The sequence below is a fragment of the Homo sapiens genome, chromosome 2 (assembly GCF_000001405.40).
Source record: "Homo sapiens chromosome 2, GRCh38.p14 Primary Assembly".
NCBI lineage: Eukaryota > Metazoa > Chordata > Mammalia > Primates > Hominidae > Homo > Homo sapiens.
The window spans coordinates 199,444,844-199,465,928 of record NC_000002.12 but is presented as its reverse complement, the minus strand read 5'-3'; the positions used below and the strand labels follow the sequence as shown (position 1 = coordinate 199,465,928).

At 44.8% G+C, this 21,085-nt stretch overlaps 1 protein-coding gene across 6 annotated transcripts in view, besides 3 other annotated features; it reads left to right on the top strand.

The window, feature by feature from the left end:
- Nucleotides 1-21,085, top strand: part of SATB2 (SATB homeobox 2) — a 201,767-nt gene that overhangs the window by 5,338 nt on the left and 175,344 nt on the right. For 2 of the 6 annotated variants that reach the window (NR_134967.2, NM_001172509.2), the window contains exons 1-2: nucleotides 7,990-8,590; nucleotides 9,833-10,060. Coding sequence is in view for 4 of the 6 variants with exons in the window: in NM_001172509.2 (NP_001165980.1) it covers nucleotides 9,892-10,060 (169 nt within the window). In the remaining 2 variants the exon portion in view is untranslated. Of the gene's footprint in view, nucleotides 1-820; nucleotides 1,094-5,392; nucleotides 5,478-7,989; nucleotides 8,591-9,832; nucleotides 10,061-21,085 lie in introns of those variants that run through there. The other 4 variants (NM_001172517.1, NM_015265.4, XM_047443775.1 and 1 more) reach the window with 4 other exon arrangements.
- Nucleotides 2,849-3,614: an enhancer, noted in NCBI's record as "H3K4me1 hESC enhancer chr2:200327038-200327803 (GRCh37/hg19 assembly coordinates)". NCBI's record gives its function as "activates a minimal SCP1, AML or CMV promoter by ChIP-STARR-seq in naive H9 embryonic stem cells {active_cell/tissue: H9 hESC(naive)}" and the evidence as "EXISTENCE:reporter gene assay evidence [ECO:0000049][PMID:30033119]".
- Nucleotides 6,109-6,403: an enhancer, noted in NCBI's record as "tiled region #6083; HepG2 Activating non-DNase unmatched - State 1:Tss, and K562 Activating DNase unmatched - State 1:Tss". NCBI's record gives its function as "activates a minimal TATA promoter and a strong SV40 promoter by Sharpr-MPRA in HepG2 and K562 cells {active_cell/tissue: HepG2 | K562}" and the evidence as "EXISTENCE:reporter gene assay evidence [ECO:0000049][PMID:27701403]".
- Nucleotides 6,670-6,799: a silencer, noted in NCBI's record as "silent region_12219". NCBI's record gives its function as "represses an Ori minimal core promoter by ATAC-STARR-seq in GM12878 lymphoblastoid cells {active_cell/tissue: GM12878}" and the evidence as "EXISTENCE:reporter gene assay evidence [ECO:0000049][PMID:35858748]".

Below are 21,085 nucleotides of genomic sequence, written 5' to 3'. Positions count from 1 at the left end.
TGGTCTTGGTTTGCAAACTTTAATTCCCATTTCTTTTCCTTTACTATTTAGCATATGACTCTAACAATAATCTGATTCAGAAATACTCTTCATTTCGTTAGGCTAACATTGATAAGGAATTTAAGTTCAGGTAAATTTTAGCACAACACTTTTCTAAAAAGTAACTTTAAAAGTGTTTTTAACTTCCACACAACAAAAACGAAAAAAGTATATATCACTATGGTTGGAGAGAAACATTCTTAGATTGCCTTTATATTTCAGAGACTTTGTATAGGTGCCAGCAACTCCGCAGACACTAACAAATGGGTTATTTGCAGTTATTGTTCATGAAAGGTCTTTTATATTTTTAAATTACGGCATGGTTCCCAGGTGGAAAAATTCCTTACAATTAAGAACTGGTTTTCAAGAAGATTGGAAAACCAGAACAAAAATTACAACGTTTTATCATATAGAAGTCTTTACTGAAAACAACGGATATTGAGTGGAAGTCAGAATGTAATGAAAGTTAATTAAAATGCAAACTATTAGGGAAACACTGCAGATGTCTTTCTGTCATATCCAACGGGACAGTCTTTAGATATTCCACCCTCCCTTATATTATACTTGTATTGTGAGACTTGAATGGTTGTCAACAGTTTTCTGTTGACAGAAATAACAACAGTTCACCTTTGAAAACTCTTCACTCAAAGCTACAATGATGATTGCTCTCGAGACAAGGACTGCTGAAACAAATAACTTTCACACATCTACACTCACACTTGCACACCCCAAACGCACACGCAATTGCCGGTTTTTGAAAACGTTGCCTCTGAATGAGAAAGAGAGAGAGAGAGAGAGACTGAGAAAGTCGAACTCGAGCTTAGGTAACCAACAAACCCAATTACTAGGCTTTATTGATACTAAAAGGAAAAGTTCCCCTCGTAAAATTTCTCTGAGCTTATTAGTTATTTAAATCAGCCCCAGGGTTGGACGCGTGACGCCGAAGGCACCTTCTGTCGGCTCCTGGAGGTGAGCAGCCAGCGTCCCTGCGCCGACCCACAGCCCCTCGCTCCGTCCTGGGCACTTGGGGCGAAGGCGGGCGCAGCGAGCCGAGGTGAGCCACTGGGCAGGGGCGCAGGGCCCGACACGCCGGGAGAGAGCTCCGCGTGGCCTAGGGTAGGACACCGGGCATCACACTTTGGAAAGGAACAGGTCCCAGCCAATAATAAGGGAGTAGGCGAGTAGGCCACGCGACCGCGGGGCGCAGGAGCTCAGCCGGCCCGCTGCCTGGCTCGCCAGACCCCGGCCCGCTGGGCACCGGCCCCTGCGACCCGGCCGGAGCGCTGGTGTTCGCGCCGTGAGTCGGGCGCGGGGCGTCTCAGACCTCCAGGGCTCGCTAGTGTTTTGTGTGGGTCTGGGAGCTTTGCAATTGGGTGGGCACCAGGTGAATTTACACCTTTCTGGGTCGCTGTCTCAATAGTTGACAAGTCCCTCTGTGTGTGTGTGTGTGTGTGTGCGCGCGCGCGCGTGGAAATGGTGGTGGGGGTGTATGTGAACAGCTGAATTTATTGAAAATAAACCCCAACCCGCCCAGTGAAGTCCTCTAAGCCCGACACGGGGTTCCCAAGTCCGGATGTGGCTCCGGGACCGCGCGAGGCGATGCCCTGTTCCTCTGGGCTTGGCTGTAGGGCGGGGAGGGAAGGCACCACGGGGTGGGGGAGAACTGAGCCCGAGTCGCCGCCGTCACAGTCACTTGGGCCTTTCCCGGAGGCCAAGGTCTTGACGGACTGAAACGGTGTCCGAGGGGATTCGTGATACCGAGAAAACAGGCGAGGCGCCAGCTCGGGAAGCCCTCTAAGTTGGCCCCCACTCCTTACGAGTTTGGGCCGCCGGATACACTGCCCCCCTCGTCCCTGGCTCCAGTAGGTGTCTGGGACCGTGGGTCCCGCAGCGGGCTTTTTCGCCCTCTCCGCTTGGTTCAAGACCGGCGTGGGCCCATAGCCTCAAAGCGTTCGGGAGGCAACTGCGGTTTGGGCCCCCTTGCACCCGGCTGCCTGAGCTTGCCTGCCCCTACGAGGGGTGGGAGCGGATTTCTGGACGCCTGCTGGCCTGCCTGAAATTTGGGGTGCGGACCGGGTGCTATCTTGGGCTTTCCAGGTGTACTTTTCATTTCAAGGGGTTGGGACAAACTGTGGGCGTTCGTATTTTGCACGCGCCAGGGCGTTTTTGTGTTGAGTGGCCCGGTGGTACCCTGGGCCAGGGACCTGCCCATCCCCCGCCACATCCTTAACCCGTGGACTGCAGGCGACGCGGAAGGGTTGGCTCCGGGACGCGACCGGCAGAGCCGGCGCCGAAGGTTTCGGCCTCAGCCCACGCGGTGGCGCTGTCGGGAGAGGACGCTGGGGCTCCGGGCCGGGACCCGGGCAGTGACCCGGGCTCGAGGGTGGCGGGACATTGACGCCAAGCCGAGGCCTCGGGGCTCTTCGCAGCCACCTTGGGCCTGAGATCCTCTGCCTCACTCGGTGTTTCCCTAAGGAAAACGCGGCGGGTCGGGAGCGCCACCCGGGGCCCCAACCCCGGCAGCTCCGAGCTGGGGGCGGGGACGCAGCGGCGGCTCCTTCGGCGCTTCCTTTTCTTCCCCCACCCTTGCCTTGTTGTCCCGGTTTACAGTCGATTTCTACAAGTAAACTAGATTAGCAGGGCAGTCATTCTCTCGCAGCGTGGTTGCAGAAGGGGACCCACCTATTAAGTTCTGGGCTCTGCAAAAGAATGAAGGGCGCCCCGGGGGGCGTTGCCTGGTGTGGTAGGGTGGTGCTCCAGGCCGCAGGACCCTCCGTCTTCCCCGGTCCCCCGGCCCGCGGCCGCCGAAGGGACACCAGATCTCCCACCAACGACTCCCCCAGCTCTGAAACCTATCTCCTCGCTTTCTTCCCCCAGGGCAGGCAGTGCCCACACCCGACGCCCATCTCCTACCCCGGGAAGCCCAGTGCAGAAAGCTCCCCGTCCTCGCCTGAGGCAGCTCCTGGGCCGACCTTGGCAATTCCCTTCCCGCCCACCCGGCTCCTGAACGGTCGGCCCCACTAGCCCCAGACCCTCGGGCCTCTGGGGTGCTAGGCTCACCGCCTAGCGCAGACTCGTTGCCCACCATCCTTCCCCATCAGTCGTCCCTCTGAGGCGTATCTCTCTGCTCGGGCCGCAGGGGCTCATTCGCTTGGGGCCGGGAGGAGGACCTCCACAGTCTCTACCTCCGGCGGCCGACGGCTTCCTTCCCTCTCCGCCCCCGCCCAGACCCCCTGAGCTGCCGGGGGAGCCAGGAGTCATTTATCTTTGCCTGGCGCGGGTTGGGATTTGTCCGGCTCTGATGCCAACGAGGAAGGCGTGCGGATAACGAAGTAAGTGTCCCCCGCCCTGCGCTCCGGTCAGTCCCCAGACGCCCGGAGCACTCTGGGAAAGGGCTGAAGCCCACCCTGGGCGAACCGTCCTCCAAGGCGCGTCCCCCACTGGGGTATTCTGGCCCCTGGCTCTTGTCCTCTTGGCGCATCTGATTTCCAGTCTAAGCCCCTCGCGGTTATGCCGTCCGAGAAAGTGTTGGTCGCCAACTCTCCACGGACAGTCCGCGGCGGAAATTGGCTTCAGAGCTGGCGTGGGCTTCATTTGAAAGAAATGATTCCCTCCCGCCCTCCTCCCGCCCCCAGGAGGGCAAGCTCCAGGGGAAGAGGCAGGCCCGCTTGGGTTCCTAGAAGCCGTCGAAAGCTTTTGACGCGGGCGATTCCCATAGTTTTCCCTGCGTGTTCCAGGGTTGAGGGAAAACGCGGCGCAACTTTCCAGGGCTCTTTAAAAGGCAGGGTCTCTCTGCCTGGGTGACCGAACTTGAAAGCCATGGACCTTGGGGATGGATGCCGGGCCCTCAGAGCCCGGGATGGCCCAGGCGAGAGCCGAAGTCCCGCGCCCGGCACCCTGCACCCTCCACCCAGGCGCCCAGGCCTACGCTGTCCGGAGCGGGCCTCTAGGAAGGAAGGTTGACCAGGGTCGAAAGCACGCACAACAAAAACTTGGTGTCGACAAAGAGAAATCAAGAAACGTCATTAGAGTGCAGGCCATAAAAGAAGGCCTGACAGAGAGAAAAGGAGAGAAGATGGAAATAAGAAAAACCATACACCTTTAACACTAGCATATAAAGATCTATTGATTTTTAAAATAACAAATCCGTGTTTGTGAAAAACAGGCGGCCTTTTACTAAATTACATAAGGAAAACTTGGGAGGTGGGTGAAGAAAAGGGGAAAAGTCTGAGCAGATTCCCGACAAAAACGTCAGTTAGAAGGAAACTGAGGGATAAAAATGTCCCCCAGATGTGAACTCCATGTTTTGAGCATGGAAGCAAACTATCTCCTAATGCACAAAATGGGTTTTAGATAAAAGTATTTTTAAAAATCAAACGTAATTAAAACAACTCTTTTCTCGTGATTTTGTTTTAAAAAGTTTGGAAATAAACCTTTTGAGGGATACAAAACGAAACCAAACAAATATTCTTGAATCATCAGCAAATTTATTCATTTACTGTTTTAAACAATACAAAATTCTAGCGAAAGGTAAAACTATTAAAATATATCTTATTGTCGAAATTAAACCTGCTGGAAATAATCGCTTCAGTTGAAATAAGGTCAATACAAAAATTGTGCAGTAAAAAGCGTATGTAATTTGAAACAAAAAAGGCCTTTATTAGAGACAAAACTCGAGAGGACAAAAACCCACACCGGACATAGATCACAAAACTTCCTAGAACTCTCCTTTAAATCGGAAGAAATTTGTAAAATGTGATATGAAATACAACTCTACAAACATCCAAAATACATTTCTGGTCATAATTAATCGTATTTGACATTTTCCTCTAAGTTTAATGCAACTTTAAATAATTTAGGCTTTTTCCTAACATGATAGATTTTTTTCAGTATCAGAAATGGACAAGAGGAAACTCCAGTAAAGAGAAAAGCAATGAATTTAAAAGGGTGCAGAATCTGAAAACAAACTAACCACAATGTACATTTAATTGTACTTAATTGTATATTTCATTTAAATAGTCCTTCTCAGGGGTTTAATAATTTAGAATCAATAGTTCCCTTCAAAACATAATAAAATATTTACACTTTATAAAATATTAACCGATTAACAATACAGCCGTGTTGTTTATAAGAGTGTAACTGAAGTCCTGCAAATCATGCTGTTGACACAAGCCTGTGAGGTTAGCGAAGTGATCCTTAGCAAAATGTAAATGAAGATCTTCAGACAGTGGTGTTTATAAAATAGCTCATTAATGACTTAGGATTGAATCGCTCCAACCATTCGCATCATCAGATATAATAATAGTGACGAATCAGACAGGAAAGATCCTGGCTAAACCATTTGCATTTTTTTCCAGAAGTACTGAACTCCTAATATCACCAATTCTTCTAAGTTCCTGGACATTGATCCGGAGGAGGATTCGCAGTTCAACATCAAGGTAAGGAAGGATACAGCATTGTTATCGTTGTTGAGATATTAGTAAGAAATACGCCTTTCCCCATGTTGTAAACGGGCTAAGTTTGACAGTGGTAGTTGGCTTTTGCAACACCCCCTTCCCATTTCGACATATTACAGATTGAAGAAAAAGTTTGTTGCTCAAAACTTACAGTTTGTTTCTTTGCAGCCCCAAACCTTTTAGCTACCACCACGGGTTGATTTACTAGACCCATTTTTGCTCTCACCGACTTCGAACTGTGCATTTTCTCCCACTCTTTTGACTGGGGGTGGTATGCGGGGGGAGGATGGGGCTTGGTGAAGAAAACCAGGGAAAGGCAAACGCTGCCTAAAACTCCCAGGGTGGCTCCCCTAAGAATTGCTATCCTGCTTGTTTCTTTTCTCGGCTGGGATCCGACCGACTCCCAGGTCGCCTCGGACTTCTTTGGAACTTGGTGGGCGGCGCCTAGGTGCGGGGTTCGTGGTGATCTGGGCGCCGACACTTAGGCCGGGGGCAGGTTTCCTTCCTGGGACCCTTTCTCTTCCAGAGGCTCTCAAGCCTCTAAGCCCGTGCGCATGCCGCCTACCAGGTAGATGCGGCGAGGGCGAGTGGAAGGCAGCCTTGTCCCGGGCACGATCGGCGGACTCAGCTTTTCGCAGTCTCTGCTCCCAGCAGGGATTTACAGAACTGCTCCCGAGAGCGTTTCCCGAAACCGAACTTAGTTTGGCCCTCTGGCGCCGCCGTACAGTCAACGCTTCTTAAGGGGGATCGGTGGCTCTTGCTGCGGGAGATGTGGGAGAGCCCTCGGGGTCCTGGGGATTAGGAGGGAGAGTCAACGTGTGCGGGAGGGACATGAGGTGCAACCAGTTGAGGGGGGATTCTCTGGCCTCAGGGCCGGCGGGGATGCGTCCACATTTTCTCGCCTAAGGTCCTAGCGGCTAATGTCCGCCGACGCCCCGGGTATCTCGCGGGGGCTGCGGCCCCTGCCCACGTGCTTTTCCTTAAGGAGGCAGCGCGCCCAAGCGGAATCGCAGGGACAAAAGCGCGGCCAGAGGCCAGCCTGCTCGGCTAGTGCCCGCGCCACCTTAAATGAGCACCGCGGCCGGAGTCGGGCTGCCGGCGGCCGCGGCCGCGGGAGTCGGCAAAAGTTTGTGGCTCTGTTACGCCTTCGCGGGACCTGCTGGGGACGCTCCTGTGCGGCCTCCCCCCGGGCGGGGAGGCCGGGTCCTCAGGGCACAGCTCTGTTGGCGCCAGCAGCCCTGGGCTCGAGCAGCTTGGGGTCCCCAGGAGCCCCAGTCCTGTAGCCCGAGGACAGGCAGCCCCACCGCCCTCGCCGCCACCGCGTCACGGGCTCCAGGCGGCCCGGTTTGCACCGCTCGCGATGTCGCCGGAGCGGCGAGCGCTCCAGCGATGCCATCCAGGGATGCACCCCGCTCTGCATCCACCACGCAACCCCCATTCCTGTGCCACCCACAGCCCGGCGGGCAGTGGCCGTGCTCCTGGCATTCGGGACACCCCGACTATTGTTCCGGACTCGCGGCCGTGCCAGCTTTGAAGGAGAAGCGGCCTTCCCTGCGCGCGCGGCGGCACGAAGCGCGGCGGGCCGGGACGTTCGGCTCGGCGCGGAGGGGGAGCTCGCAGGCACCGGGAAAAGTTGCTCGGAGGGGCGGAGGCGGTGGGTGGTGGGCGGAGGCGGTGGGTGGGGGAGGCGATCGCCCTCCTATCTCCAAAGTCGAAAGTACTCCGCGCAGTTAACAGAGCTGGGAGCCGAGGCAGCCGCGGTCGCCTCTTGCGCGTCGGTCTGCGTCTCCGCCGGCAGACGCGGCACCCAGCGACTGCCTTGTCGCCGCCGCCTCCGCGCCGGGACGAGTGCGCCTAGGGGCTGGGCGAGGCGGCCGCGCCCTGGACCCGCCACAAGGAGGAGGACCAGACCCTGGGCCCCGGTGCCCGCCTGCGCCCAGACGCACCCACCCGCTGGCCGCGGCCACCGCCTCGCGCCGCACTCGGTTCTCTGCCATCGGTCCTTCGCCGCCTCGTGCATGAGGTCCTCGTCACCCCGCTCCGACCGCCGACTCTCCCCTTCCTCTTCCCTCCTCCCTGCCTCCCACCCGCCCCTCGCCTGTCCCTCTGCCTCCTTCGCAGCCCCGCCGCCGTTGGGTCGCCGTGCTCACAGCGATTGATTGATTGATGTTTAATTTCCTGCCAGGCGGGGCCCCCCTCCCCCCGCAACCTCCCCAGCCCTCCTCCCCGCCCCCCACTCCCCTCTTTTCTTGCGGTGGACCAGTCTGGCTTGGGTTTAGATCCATCCCCCCCACCCCCATCCCGAAATAATCCAGAGACTTCCCCTACCCCCACCCCAAATTATTATTTTGAAGGCGCTAGATCTGGGGACCGAAAGGGGGAGGGGGAGAAATCGGAAACCGAGGACAACCCAAAAGGACTCACTTTGCCTGATGACTCAACGCAACTAATAATCATCTCCCTCTCAGTGTGTCTCTCTCTGCGGCTTGTCAGTGAGTCCGGCTCTGGCTGCTGGCAGAGGCGGCCGAGAGGGGAGAGGCTGGAGGTGACAGCTTGGGCGGCCGCCGCGTTTCCTCCCGCGCGCGGTCCCGGGTCCCTGCGTCTTCTCGGCTCTTGGTGTTACCGGTCCCACCGCTCTGGCCGCGCCTCCTCGCGAGCTAGCCGCCCTGCGAACCAGCAGCCCCGGCTCGCCGCCGCCGCCGCCGCCTCCGGGTTCTCAGCCCTTTCTCTCCAGAACGGGTCTCCTTCCCGAAGGTGTGAAAAGGCTCTTTCAGCCTCCTTCTCTTCCCCCCTCCTCCGCCGTCCCCTCCCCCGCTCGCTCGGGTGTCCCTTTGGAGGAGTCCTTTCCCTCTCCTCCTCCTCCCCCTCCTCCCTCCCCCCATCATCATCATAACAACCATCTCCGCACCAGAAGAAGACACCCTGACCCAGGACCTTAAACATTAGGACCTGGGGAAGAGGGAAGGGGAAGGAGTAAAGAGGAAGACTAGGAGAACACTGCAAAGCCAAGCACCAGAAACTTTCCACCCTGGATTCTCTACTTTTGCTCCATGGACAGAGCCCCAGTCAGCCAAGTTTCAGACAGACCGTGAGCAGTAAGTACGCAGGGCGAGGGCTCCCGCGCCGCGCTCGGGAGTTCGGGGAAGCCCAGGGCCAACGAAGTCCCCTCCCCGCCGCTCTCGGCCTCTCGGACCGCGAAGTCGGGGAATGCAGGCGGAAGCCTCGCCCTCAGCCCTCCTGCTCCGTGTCTTCATCTCGCATCCTTCCTTTCACCTCCCCCTGCCACCCCCACCTTGTCTCCTTGACCCGTGGCGCCGACACTGCTCGCGCGGCCAGAGCGCCCACGAGGATTCCCAGCGCGCACGCAGTACGGTGCCGGGGTCTTGCTTCTTGCGGGTGTCAGTGACAACGCGAGCGCCGTTTCATCAGGTGTTTCCCCTCCTTCCCCGCCCCCCCCCACCCCCCCAATCCAGGGGTGTCGAGACCTGCGGCTTCCGTGGGGAGCGCACTGCCAACCTAGTGACCCAGAGGAAAACTTTCTGGAGCGATGTTAAAATTGGGGCGGATGAAGGCTGCTCTTGCACTAAGAATTCAAATGCTTTTTGCTTTTGTGTTTTATATTGAAGAGCTTTAAAAAAGCACTGGGGATCAGATGAAGATAAGAACGCTCCAAAATAATAACGATTGTAGCGCCCGCCTTTGTGATGGAGGTTATTCTGATAAATACCTCCAAGTGTTTTCGGATGCTTATTAATGTGGAATTAGGGTTGATTTTATGCAGGTGTGTGCTTATCTCAGGACTTGCTCCGTATAGGTAAAAAGCGGGTATTCAAGGGGTTCTTTCGCCCGGCCTTTGGCTCCTGCCTGGCCATTCACAGCGCATTTACCGGGTGGTTAATTCGGTTATGGACTTGCGCACACCCCCAACTCCCTTCCCATGTGGGTGGAACGTCTTTTTCTGAAGTTCACTTATTCCGCAACCCTGACCCCGGGACGGGCTAGGCTGTAGCACCCAGGAACGGTTTATGCCAACCCCGTCCCAATGAATGGACCACTTCTAGGCGCCCCTGGGTGCCAACCCCGGCCGCGACCCCGAGGGCTGACTTCTGGGGAGCTGCGACTGGGCAGAGTCGCCGAACCGAGGCGCTGGGCTTCCTGGGGGCCGCCCAGTGTAAGGTTGGGACCGGCTTCCCGGCTCGGGCCCCTCGGGCAGCGTGGGAGGAAGTTTGTGTGGCTGTGGTGCAGCGCTCTGCCACTGGCCTGAACGTCTATCACGTGTATGAGCGGTTTTCCCTCTTTTTTCTCCCTCCCCCTTCCTCCCCCCACCCCCTCCCTAGGTCCCTGTGCGTTTTATTGCGACCTGCCGGTGGGAACTTTGTCTCCGAGTCGGAGCAGCATGGAGCGGCGGAGCGAGAGCCCGTGTCTGCGGGACAGCCCCGACCGGCGGAGCGGCAGCCCGGACGTCAAGGGGCCTCCCCCAGTGAAGGTGGCCCGGCTGGAGCAGAACGGCAGCCCCATGGGAGCCCGCGGGAGGCCCAACGGCGCCGTGGCCAAGGCCGTGGGAGGTAACAGCCCGGAGCAGGGAGGCGCGCAGCCCGCGGCCCAGTGATAATGGCCCGGGTGTCAGGGTTCAGGTTGATTAGGCGCTGTCGCGGTGTAGGATTACAGGAAGTGAATTCCAGGTTGCCAAATAATGCCCCCGTCGCCTCTCATCTGCAACTGGTAGCTTCATCTCCAGTTAAAACAAGAAAGTGGTTTTACCCAGAGGGTGGCATTTTTTGGGCATTTTGCCACTGTGTGCTGAGGTGTTGGCAGGTTTATGTCACAGCCAGCTAACTGTTTCTAGATTTTCCTAGAGAGCTTTTTAGTGATTTAACTCTTTTGCCTTGCCTCGGAGTGTCTGTTGTAGGGATGAAGTTCACGTGCGTTCGCTTTTAGGGAATAAAATAGTCATTAATGCTCAGGCGAGTACAGGAACAAGGAGAGTTGATGTTACTTTGTAGTGAGGACAGTGCTTCAAGACAGATGAATGACAACTGGGAATATTTCCTGCCACGTGAAATGTGGGAAATAAAGAATCACCATGAATCCATCAGGCCCTTAGAAGCTTAAATGCTGCTGTTGTCTATAAAGTTTAGTCATATGCATTCGTAACTTTATTATGAATTATAGGAGAACAGATAAAAATAGCAAAGTAGCCTTATCAACTAGATGTAGTTTCCCCTCCAAAGAATTTATTAATAATTTTATTTAAAGAAAATCTTTTGTAGTTTTTACTACTTAAGCAACTACTTTCTTTTAAAGTGGTCAGGAAAAGCAATCATACAAAATAAAGATATGGGAGAAATTTAAACATTGAAATATTTTGGAGTTTGTATGCCATTTGCTTAGTTGTCTTTTACATGTAAAATCCACAATTCCACATGGCATGCAGGTTTTCTGTGTGTTTGGCATAAATCACTAGTTTAATTTTTTTTGCCTCTAACGTTTTTTCTCTAATAATTTCAACAGTAGCCCATTTAATATTCAATATATTAACTTGTCTTAAATGATATAAAACCTTGGCAAACCTTAATGATAAGCTCCCACCCCCTTGTTGTAAGTGTCTATTGTGTGTATTTCAAAATAGTTACTTACATCTAAAAATGTTCATTCCTCCTTAAAGAGTTGAACACATACGTTTTATAAAATCGTATTTTTTTCTTTTTACTTATTTTGCTATTTCTATTTCTTCATGGTAAATACTTAGGATGGTTTGTCTCAGTCTTTCATATTAATCGTCTCACTTGAGAAGTATTCATCCTTTCAATGTTGTGAGTTAAAAAGTTTGGTGATGGATTCTGGCTTGTTTATCTCCCCTTTTTGGGACTTGAAAATATACTTTATTGAAGCAAAAGAAAACAGTTCTGTGACCCACTTTTTAAAAGAGAGGTTTATTAATTTGTTGTCCTGATACTGGAGCAAATAATGTCAGACTTTTGGCATAATCAGTTAGTATATGCATATAAGAAATAAAAATTCATAGAGTATGATGGTACCAATTATGAGATATGCTAAGTGCTGAAAATGTTTGAAAAAGTTCTGAAACTCCTTGGAGACAGTGTGTTCCAAAGTGGCCTTTGTGGACAGAAAAGGCTTGGACTTAAAATTTTGGTATCTTTCTGAAGATCTAATAAAATTCACTAAATTGAAAGGAGCTGTAAACATTTTAGAATGTAATTGTTAACAACGTGCTTCCCTAAAACAAGTTTTTTCCCCTCCTCTATATCATGTTGAACTATGAAAGAAAGTGCCTTGTTCTGTTGACCAGGGATAACTTTAGTGTTAAATAGTGGTTGGTTTTCAAATTTTCTGAGACTATAGTTCACATTTGAGCCCTTATGTGTTTAATATAAACTAAAATTATTATCTTGGTGAAGAATAATAGATTTGTTTCAACCAGCTGCCTTAGACACTTTCTCTTGATTAACTTAATTTAGTAATAGCAGAGGTCTTATTAGCTGCTTCCCAAATTGAAAATAAAGATGACATTATTTTGTCTCAATACATATCGTTTATAATACACGATAGTAAACTGGTTAAAATTGTTTAGTGGAATTTAAATTTTTTTAAAAAAGACAGCATAATAGTGTGTAAAGAGATTAATTTAGACAACTTTAGAATATAACAACTTAGAAGATAAGATTTTGATAGTACAAAGGTTTCTAATTGAATGTTAACAAAATTATGAGTTTAAGTTTATATAATTTCCAAATGTATGTTAAGATGTTAATAGTTTCTTTGTAACTGTTAACCATGTATACAGTTTGGAGCAAAGCCAGGCCTTTTGAAAAATGCACATTCTAAATTTTAAAAAATGTTTAAAATACATTTCTAGTTAGTTTTTTTATAATTAAAGGATTTTTTTGAACATAGAGTAAATATAAAGTAGATTATATTTCTACCATTCTATGTTCTTTTGTTTAAATTTTCTTTATAAAGCAATATAATAAGCATAGATAACTACACAAGTATTTATAGCTCTGTATCATTTATTACCGTTTTCAGATATATTGCAGTCTTTTCAATGGTGTAATGATGGATACAATAAAATTTGTCTTAAAAGTGGAGCCAAAAATTTGGGAGTACATATTTGTTAATCTTTAGTGTTCCTCTTTCTTAAAAGCTGTTCTTTTAAAAATAAGGGAGATCAAGTTAATTGGTTGTCAAATCAAATAGCAATTTATCTTACTGTTTTTGATAAGCAGTGAGGTAAATATAGTTTAAATATACTTCTGAATGCATTGGTTGCAGTAATAAATTCTGCTGTTACTCTACTTATTTAGGTAGAGGGAATTTACTGTGTTTTTTGATGAGAACTAAGTATTCATAAAAGAAGGGGCATTACTTTAGTGTCTCAATTTAAATAGAAGAGAGGGTAGATACACTGTCACTGTCTTTAAGGTTGTGTTTTAACAGGGGACTTAAAAGTGGATTGTTTACTATGTGGTTAGCTTTAGAAGACTGTTAGAAACTAGATGTTTTGCTTTGTCTTTCCAACACTTTCTGGGATGTTTTTACTCTTATCTGAGCAGTGTGTTTTAAAGCATGTATGTAATAAAATGTAAGTGCTCAGATGTGTATGTCAGTCAGCTTTTACAGACGGTCCTTAGGAAAAAAAAAAGGCTAATATCTCTTTAAAAAACATATGAAGGCTAGGAGAGAGTTTAGAGCTAGCAAGAGCACCATGGTGTTGACAGCTTTATATCCCTGCTGGGTAACATTCACTTACTAGAATTGGCGTCCCCTCTCAGCTAGTAATTCACTCCATAAGGATTTTGAAAAAGGATGATTAATGGTGGGGAAATTTATATTTGTGAAATTGTTGATTAAAACTTACAGATCTATTTGAAGATTTAGGAAAAGAAGGGATTATTAAGGATGATGAAAATAAGAATCAGATGATCCTTTTTACCACTATTAGCATAAGTACCTAAAATGTTCTGCTGTATGGAATGCTTCAGCCATGCAACTTACAGCATAAAATGAAAGTGATGCCAATCAAGTTTCCAGAGGAAGCAAGGCATTCTGCTTTTCTCCTGGACTGCTGAAAGGTGCTGGCCAGTTGTGCTTTAATAGCAATAAATTATTGTGCTTCATTCATTGTTAACACAAGCATTTTCATTTTTTAATGTTTGGCTTAAAGAAGAACTTTCAGACAGCTTTATTTAAACTGAATGAACAGCGCTTGAATATACCAGATGGTGTATTTGCTGATAGGAGACATTAAACATCAGAAATCTTTTTGATATTTTTCATTTTCCTATGAATTTTTATGATTTTTTGGTGTTAAATGTTCTACATTTTAGGGAAAAATATTTAAACATTGAAAATATCTTTTAGAGAGATTTGCTTTTTTTATTAAAAAAACTTGCTTATTTCTGAAAAATAATTTATGTTTTATAAATAACAATTTAATTTTGTTGGCATACTGTCTGTTAAAGTTATCTTATAACTAGTCTACCTGAAGTAGACCTATTCGTGCTACCAGGCAGCCCTTTCAAGAACATAACTGTCTTGTTGCAAGGGGGAAAAAAATCATTATGCAGTACACACTGATGTATTCAAATAGGGAAGCAAATGTGATCAAGATTGTTAGTCAGGGCCTCATTTAAAGCTGAACATTGTCTACAACAACAGTTAGTTTAATTGTCTACATGTGGAACACTTCCTTTTAGATGAAAAGAAATGCAGTTCGGGTCAGGTGTAGTCACCATATCAGCAACAGTAGAGAGACATTTAACTTTTTGAAAGGAATGCAGATATGAAAGTATAGATAGGTATATATTGAGATTATAAAATACTTAGAAATATATTGTTAACATGGGCAAAATGGAGAAAACTCCATTCCCAAGGATGAATATCATAATATTTGTAGGAAGTACACATTACTTCAAAAGAGAAAAGATTGTATTTCTCCCTCCTCACTTTTTTTTTTTTTTTTTAAGGTTTTAAGATCTTTTAAATAGAATGAACTTAGGCTTTGGGGTCATCCAACAATCTAGCCTGTCCTCTGTAGTTTTGCTGAGGTAGAAAAATAACTCTTCTCTAAAGTGTTTTTAGTTCTTGGCCTGTTATTAAAATAAAGATATACTTGGTTAAAAAAATATATGCAGTGGAACATACACATTAAACAGAACATAGGGTATCCGCCCCTCAAAGTCCTGAGCATAATTTGATGTTTCAAGTAATTTTGGAAGCCTTATGTTCCATCAGAAGAAACCCACTGACCATTGTATACTCAAGATCATCTGTAGTGCAGTGTGTGTGTGTGTGTGTGTGTGTGTGTGTGTGTGTGTGTGTTGGAACTACATAGATGTCCCTTAAGGCATCTGTTTTTTAACCCCTGCAGAAAATAAGCAATATCATCCTTTCCCAGAGGGTTGTAACCAGCAAAGTCTGTACATATGAGATATCCTGTTTGAATTCTTCTTTTCTTTCTTGAATTTTGTTTTAACCAATCTATCTCTGTAGAGAAGGGAAAACAGACTAATCATCATTTATTAGATAGCTAAGAATATGAATTTGAGTCATTTTAAGTATACGGAAATCAGTTTTATTCCAGGAAAGACTACAGTAATTATTTGGTATATCTGACAAAGTAGTAAGCAGTGAAGTTTGATGGTTATAATTTAAAACCCCTATTTTTCTTTCTTTTTAAAAAGTATTTATTATAGAATCAGCATATGTGTATATATTTAAAAAGACATGTTAAATTTACAGGGCTAGATGAATTCCAAATAGTATTATTTTCTTGGGTTATACTTATCTTTTAAAGCTTTTTAGGTTTCTGTTGGAATAAAATTTCTCACCATTAAAATGTTTCTTATGACTAAGAACCCACATTAGGTGTGTAAAATATGTACATTGTTTTATTTCAGAAAGCCAAACTTTATCCTATATAGCATGTAAATTAATAAAGAATTCTTTATATTGTTTAATCAGTAGGCTTTTAAAAAACCTATATAACTAATATATGGTAACATAGTAATTTTTACTATCTTCCTTACATGAATACTGAGATACAATGGCATTTTGGAACATATTTAAAGATGGAGCATTTGACAAAAGTTGTATGTGTAACAGTTTGTCAGTGAAAAGTGACAAGTGGGAAATGACAAATGAAATGTTGGCATCATCACTCTTTATTTTGATAAAAATGTCTCAATTTGCAGTGATATAATACTGTTTCATATTATTTCATGAGTTGTGTGAGAATGCATAAGGGGAATTTAGATTTTGTGAACGGAAAATTAGCAGCCCAAAGTCTCTTTTCAGAAGCTTTGGCAGCAAGTTCCCCGTCTCCCCCACTCCCCAAGAATAAGAACAGCAGTGAAATGTTGGATCTAACCCATACATTTTAACTCATTATTTTTTGGAAAAAACAGAGAAATAACCTAAAATGGTTTCGAGTAGGAGACCTTTATGCTTAACTCAAAAAAATGAAGAAAAGAGTTTGCCTTTTAGTTTCTATTCTTTTCTTTGTAGCAATTTTTAAATGAATGATTTGCCTCTACTGACTTTGATTGTATGGTCTTTTTTCACTTCCAATCAACACTGCTCTCCAGCATTAATTTAGGGTGCCAGTAAGGAGAGCTGTGAATTCCTGTTATTTTAAAATGCAATAGAGGTTTTGAAAATGTCTGTGGTGAAAATGGATTTTTATATACAAAAGATTCATCATCCTACTACTTAAATGTAATGTGATAAATATTTCAAAGTCAAAGTAGATGCCCTGAGTGGAACTGAGGTATGACTAAAACAAAAACCAGTTGAGGACTTACAGAGTTTGAAAAAAGCACAGTTGTAGTCATTATAGTATGCTATTTTCCGTTGCTCTTTATTGTTAGCAATTAACCAAACATTATTTTTCTTCTTTTATGTAGAAACAAGCCCTGTAAGCATAACATGCTACAGTGTTTTTGTAAAAATGTTCCATGGTGGAGTTTTCAAAATTATGGAACTCTAGCTATATATATTTGTTTCAATTAACAGAATTATTTTGCTTTTTAGTAGCAAGTGATTTAAGAATTGTGGTAAAATCAGTATAATTAAGTGGCACTGAAAGGCTACATCAGAAATTGCATTCTACAACTTCTGTATCTTTGCTGCTCAATTAAAAAGTTTTACTTATTTCAGATTTTTAAAAAACTAGATAAAAAGACATAATATGGAACAAGTGTGCTTTAGATATATAATTATGACAATAGAGTTTATGGCATGCATTTTTTTTCCCCTTTTTAATTGATGTCCTTTAACTTAAACAAGTGGATGTTATGGTTATTAGTTTGACAAATGCCTAAAATGCAGATAAAAGCATGAATAGAAATTTTAAGAATTTGAAACTTGCAATAAAGTTATCAGCAAACTATGTCAGTTTTATAGTAAGCATATTCTTTATTAATGATTATGACACATAGGACAGGAAAACCTTCTGGGGAAATATATTTCAATTTTAGTTGCTCCTGGTACTGTTACTCACTAATAGTGTGTGGGCAGATTCAGTTCTGCTCTTACCTAGTAGCCGTATCATTGGAATGGAGTTCTATCGTAGTACAGTTGGTTATTAAACTGTAAAATAACAAAAAAGATCAAAAAATTAAGGGGAGGCACTGCAAGCTACTATTTATCAAAAGGGATCCATTTCAAACCAGGGTAACTGGTGCCCACTGATGGTTGCACAGTTACTGAAATGTGCACAGCAGCTCAGTGTCTTTCTTTTGTTTATTTGACTGAAGACTTACACAGATATTTATGTATATAATATATAAAATAAGAGACTCTAGTTAGAGCAAATGTTTTCCAAAGTGCTAAGATCTGACAGAGGTGATTTGCAGGGGTTTGTCGTAGAAACAGCGTGAATTTCATCACGTTAACCACATATATCTTTTTCTTTCTTTAAAAAATACTTTTTACTTGTTTTTGCATTTGGCTGGAAAGCAAGTGTATCAGTTCTTTCATAACTGATTGTGATTGATTTTTTTTTTAACACAAGAAAATATTTTCTTTGCAAAGAGAGCAAATTTGATTGGATGCCATGCCCAAGACTCCTGGGAAAGGACCAAAGGACCAAAGGCATAAAGTAAAAATAACTGTATTTTTAGATTTCCCAATTATGTCCTATATTAAAATTGAGTACTTTTATTGCATTTGTTTCAATTATTATTACATATAAGGAAAGGCAAAATTGATATATTTAATAGCTTACTGACGATGCATTCATATCAAAACACTTGAAATAGCAATAGCATTTTTGAAATATTATTTTTTGGGGGTTAACAGAACAAGAACTTTCTTTTGTCATAATCCAAAGATGCTAACAGAGCAGCATGATAAATGTCTCTTTAAGTGTCGTAGTAAAAGAAAATGACTTGTCTTCTGAGGCAGTGGAGAGTTTATGTTGTTTTGGACCCATTTCCCAAGCAGTGATCGAAAACAGATTACAATAACAATTATACAGTCAGAAGATGCAATATCCATTTCTGCTTTAATTGAGTGAAAGAATAATAAAAACATCATTAAGAAAAATGAGGTGGACCTGTCACACAATGTACAAATTTTTAGTCTTGGAGAAGATGCAGAAAAACTGAAGTGCTTTTCGCATACTTTGTTGTGTTTATTAGCTAAAATCTGTTTTAGGGAGAGACCATTTGGCTCTCATTCTTCCCTGGGAAGTTCAAAGAGGAGCCCATGGAAAGTGGTTGCCCAGGAGACATTACAAATGACCATTGACTTTGTCTTCATACACAGTTTGACCAGGAAAATCCCATTTTCTTAAATTCTACCTGAGGTGGAACTACTCTCTCCCCCTCCTTTTTTTTTGTCTCTGTAAATGGAAGTCAGAAGTAATGAATGTTCCTCTTGTTACAAAGCCCAGCCAAGTAAGGGTTAGATGGGGTTCCTAGGCCTGCTGTTCTTCCTCTTCCCAAAGTCCAAACTAGGCTGAAGGGGAGAGAGTTGAGGCTGAATAATGAGCACCCTCATTTCTTCTCAGCACACACCGGGGTAACCTGAGTTGCTCTGTGGGCACATCACCTGAGGTGTACTCACCTGACTGTCACCTGAAATGCAGAGGCTCTTGCTTCGACCTGCAATCCTCTGAATTATGAAATCGATGTCCTTAACATTGCTGAGACTCTGGCTCTCATTCCACAGAGCTATGCTTTCAGCAACTCCGAATGAACCGCCAGGCAGCAGGGGCTGCCTGGGGCTCGTTTTGCCTCACTCTGGGCTGTATTTGTTACTCTATTAATAGAAACTGTGAGCTCCTGAAGAAACCTAGGTGGTGACGGTGGAGTTCACCCGGGAACCTTGACTTAGGGTGGGGATACCTGAGGTGGGGATAACTCGGGTTACCCCCATGTGTGGTGGGGATACTAAAACTGCAGATAATGTCGGCCATCAGAGTAGTCAGAGCTCCAGGTTTTACTCAGTTGACAGACTTAGGGGGGAATATTTCTTTCATCTGTCGCTGAGTTTCTTGGATTTAATATTTAAAAACCTTCCTGAGGTGACAAAATGAAAGAAACAAGATAGGCAGTACATCCTCCTGGTGGAGGTCTCATAATTTCAGAACTCTCCCGAGCATTTATCATCCCTTTTAGAGTGGGATGTATATCAAACAGCCCCAAAAAAGCTTTTTTAAAAAAGTTATTTAATCCATAGAGCCTAGTTAATAGTGCCTTCATTAAAATGCTTTTGTCAGCAAAGGGTTTTCAGTTTTAACATTTGCGTAACCTAACAGTGTTGATGAAGGCCATGAGCTTTAAGGGTCTATTAGTGGTTCCGTTTCTTCTGGACTTTATAATTTAAACCTAAACATTAATTCTGGGTGGAACTTGGCATAATGTCTTTTTGCCTTGGAAGGAATTTTTGTTGTACAATTAAAAGAAAGTGTTTTGGTTTTTTTTTCATACGATCACCTTCTCCATGTCCCTCTTCCCCAAGTAAACAGCAATTAAATAGTCAAGGTTTTAAAAGGGTTTCTTTAGTTTAAAAAAAGGAGTAGTTATTTTAGGTGAATTTAACAATTTTCCATTAGTTCACATTGCAAAATAGTGCTTTGGTATTAACAAGGAAGTTCTGTGAGGCTGATAATGTAGTGAAAATATTTTTCTTTTCTGTCCCTCTCCCCTGTATACAAGAAAACCCTGTGGTAAAATTTTTTAATAAAACCATTTTGCATGACAGTTGAAACTTATAAATCAGTTGCTATTCTTCTTTATTAGAAGCTGAGAGACAAACATGTTTTAAGTTTTTTGTCACCTGTAATTGTAACATTGACTAGAAAGGAAGAAATTGGAATCTTAATATTAAGTCATTACGTGACTGAATTTTTCAGTATTGTTTATTTTGGAAAATAAACTGTGATCCTTAATATGATCTTTTTGATGTATTAATACTATGTTAAAGTTGAGTTATTATAGGAATCTAATTACATGTTAAGTGGGAAATTAGAAAGCACTAAAGAAACCTTGCAATGATAAATTGTCTTCATCCGAAAACCAGAAGGTATTCAGAGTGAAGGTGCCTGTCAGGAGAGAAGCATTCCTAGAGTCTCCATTCAGACATCTCCATTCAGATGTTGCCCTTTAGATTTGGGAAATGTGGTATTAGAACACCCCAAACCCTTTAGTATCGACGGAGTATAAGAAGAGCAAATTGTTCCCTGAATAGGAAGTTATTACACCTTTAATAACCAGGTAAAGTCACTTTACAAGGGTAAATAAGGTGATCCTGACTTTTTTCCTTCTCAAATGAATCTCTAGGTAATATGCAGCAAAACTACCTCTATTTACAGCCTCTTTCATATGGCAAGTTTGAGCCTTAAGCACGTTTTTACAGCTAACTTATAAACTCCCCCAAAACTGGGGCTTACCATTGAAAGTCTGCCAACACTGTTACAAATGGTCATTAGTTCCCAAGAAACTTTGAGGAGGAAAAGAACTGTATGAAAATGCCGTGACTTTAGTAAGAACCATTTTGTTTCATGTGTATTTTTTGCTGCCATGGCAGAACTGGGGACTGACCTGCATGTTCAGGATTGATACTGAACATTCTCCTGTGGAAATGTATAGGATTCCAATTAGCGCAGGGTCAGAGCATAAATGTACCTCTTTTTTCACACTGTTCCAGGTGGTTAGTGGGAAACAAGCTGCAAAGTAATTCCCTTGGCCCCCCAATAAAAAGATTTATAGCAAAATAATTCTCAGCTCCATAACGGGACTGTTGTAGGTTTGTGTTTGATATTTGTAGGACTGAAATACAGTCCATGTACCCAAACTAAGCATTTATTGTAAACAAGTTAACTGCCAAGAGCTTATATTCTGTCAAACATAATTATATTGAAGATTGATGTATAGCTTGAAAGTGAGTTTGTGGGAGACAGTTCTTTTTAACCAAGGCAGGCTTCTGAGATGCAGCTCTCTTCTTCCTTTGCTAGAATGACTCAGTAAAGCCATCTTTCTCGCCGCCAGCCTCTCATATATAGAATAAACACAGGCTTGCTCTTTGAAAACATAGCTGTTTGTCGATCCTATTTGTGTTAACAA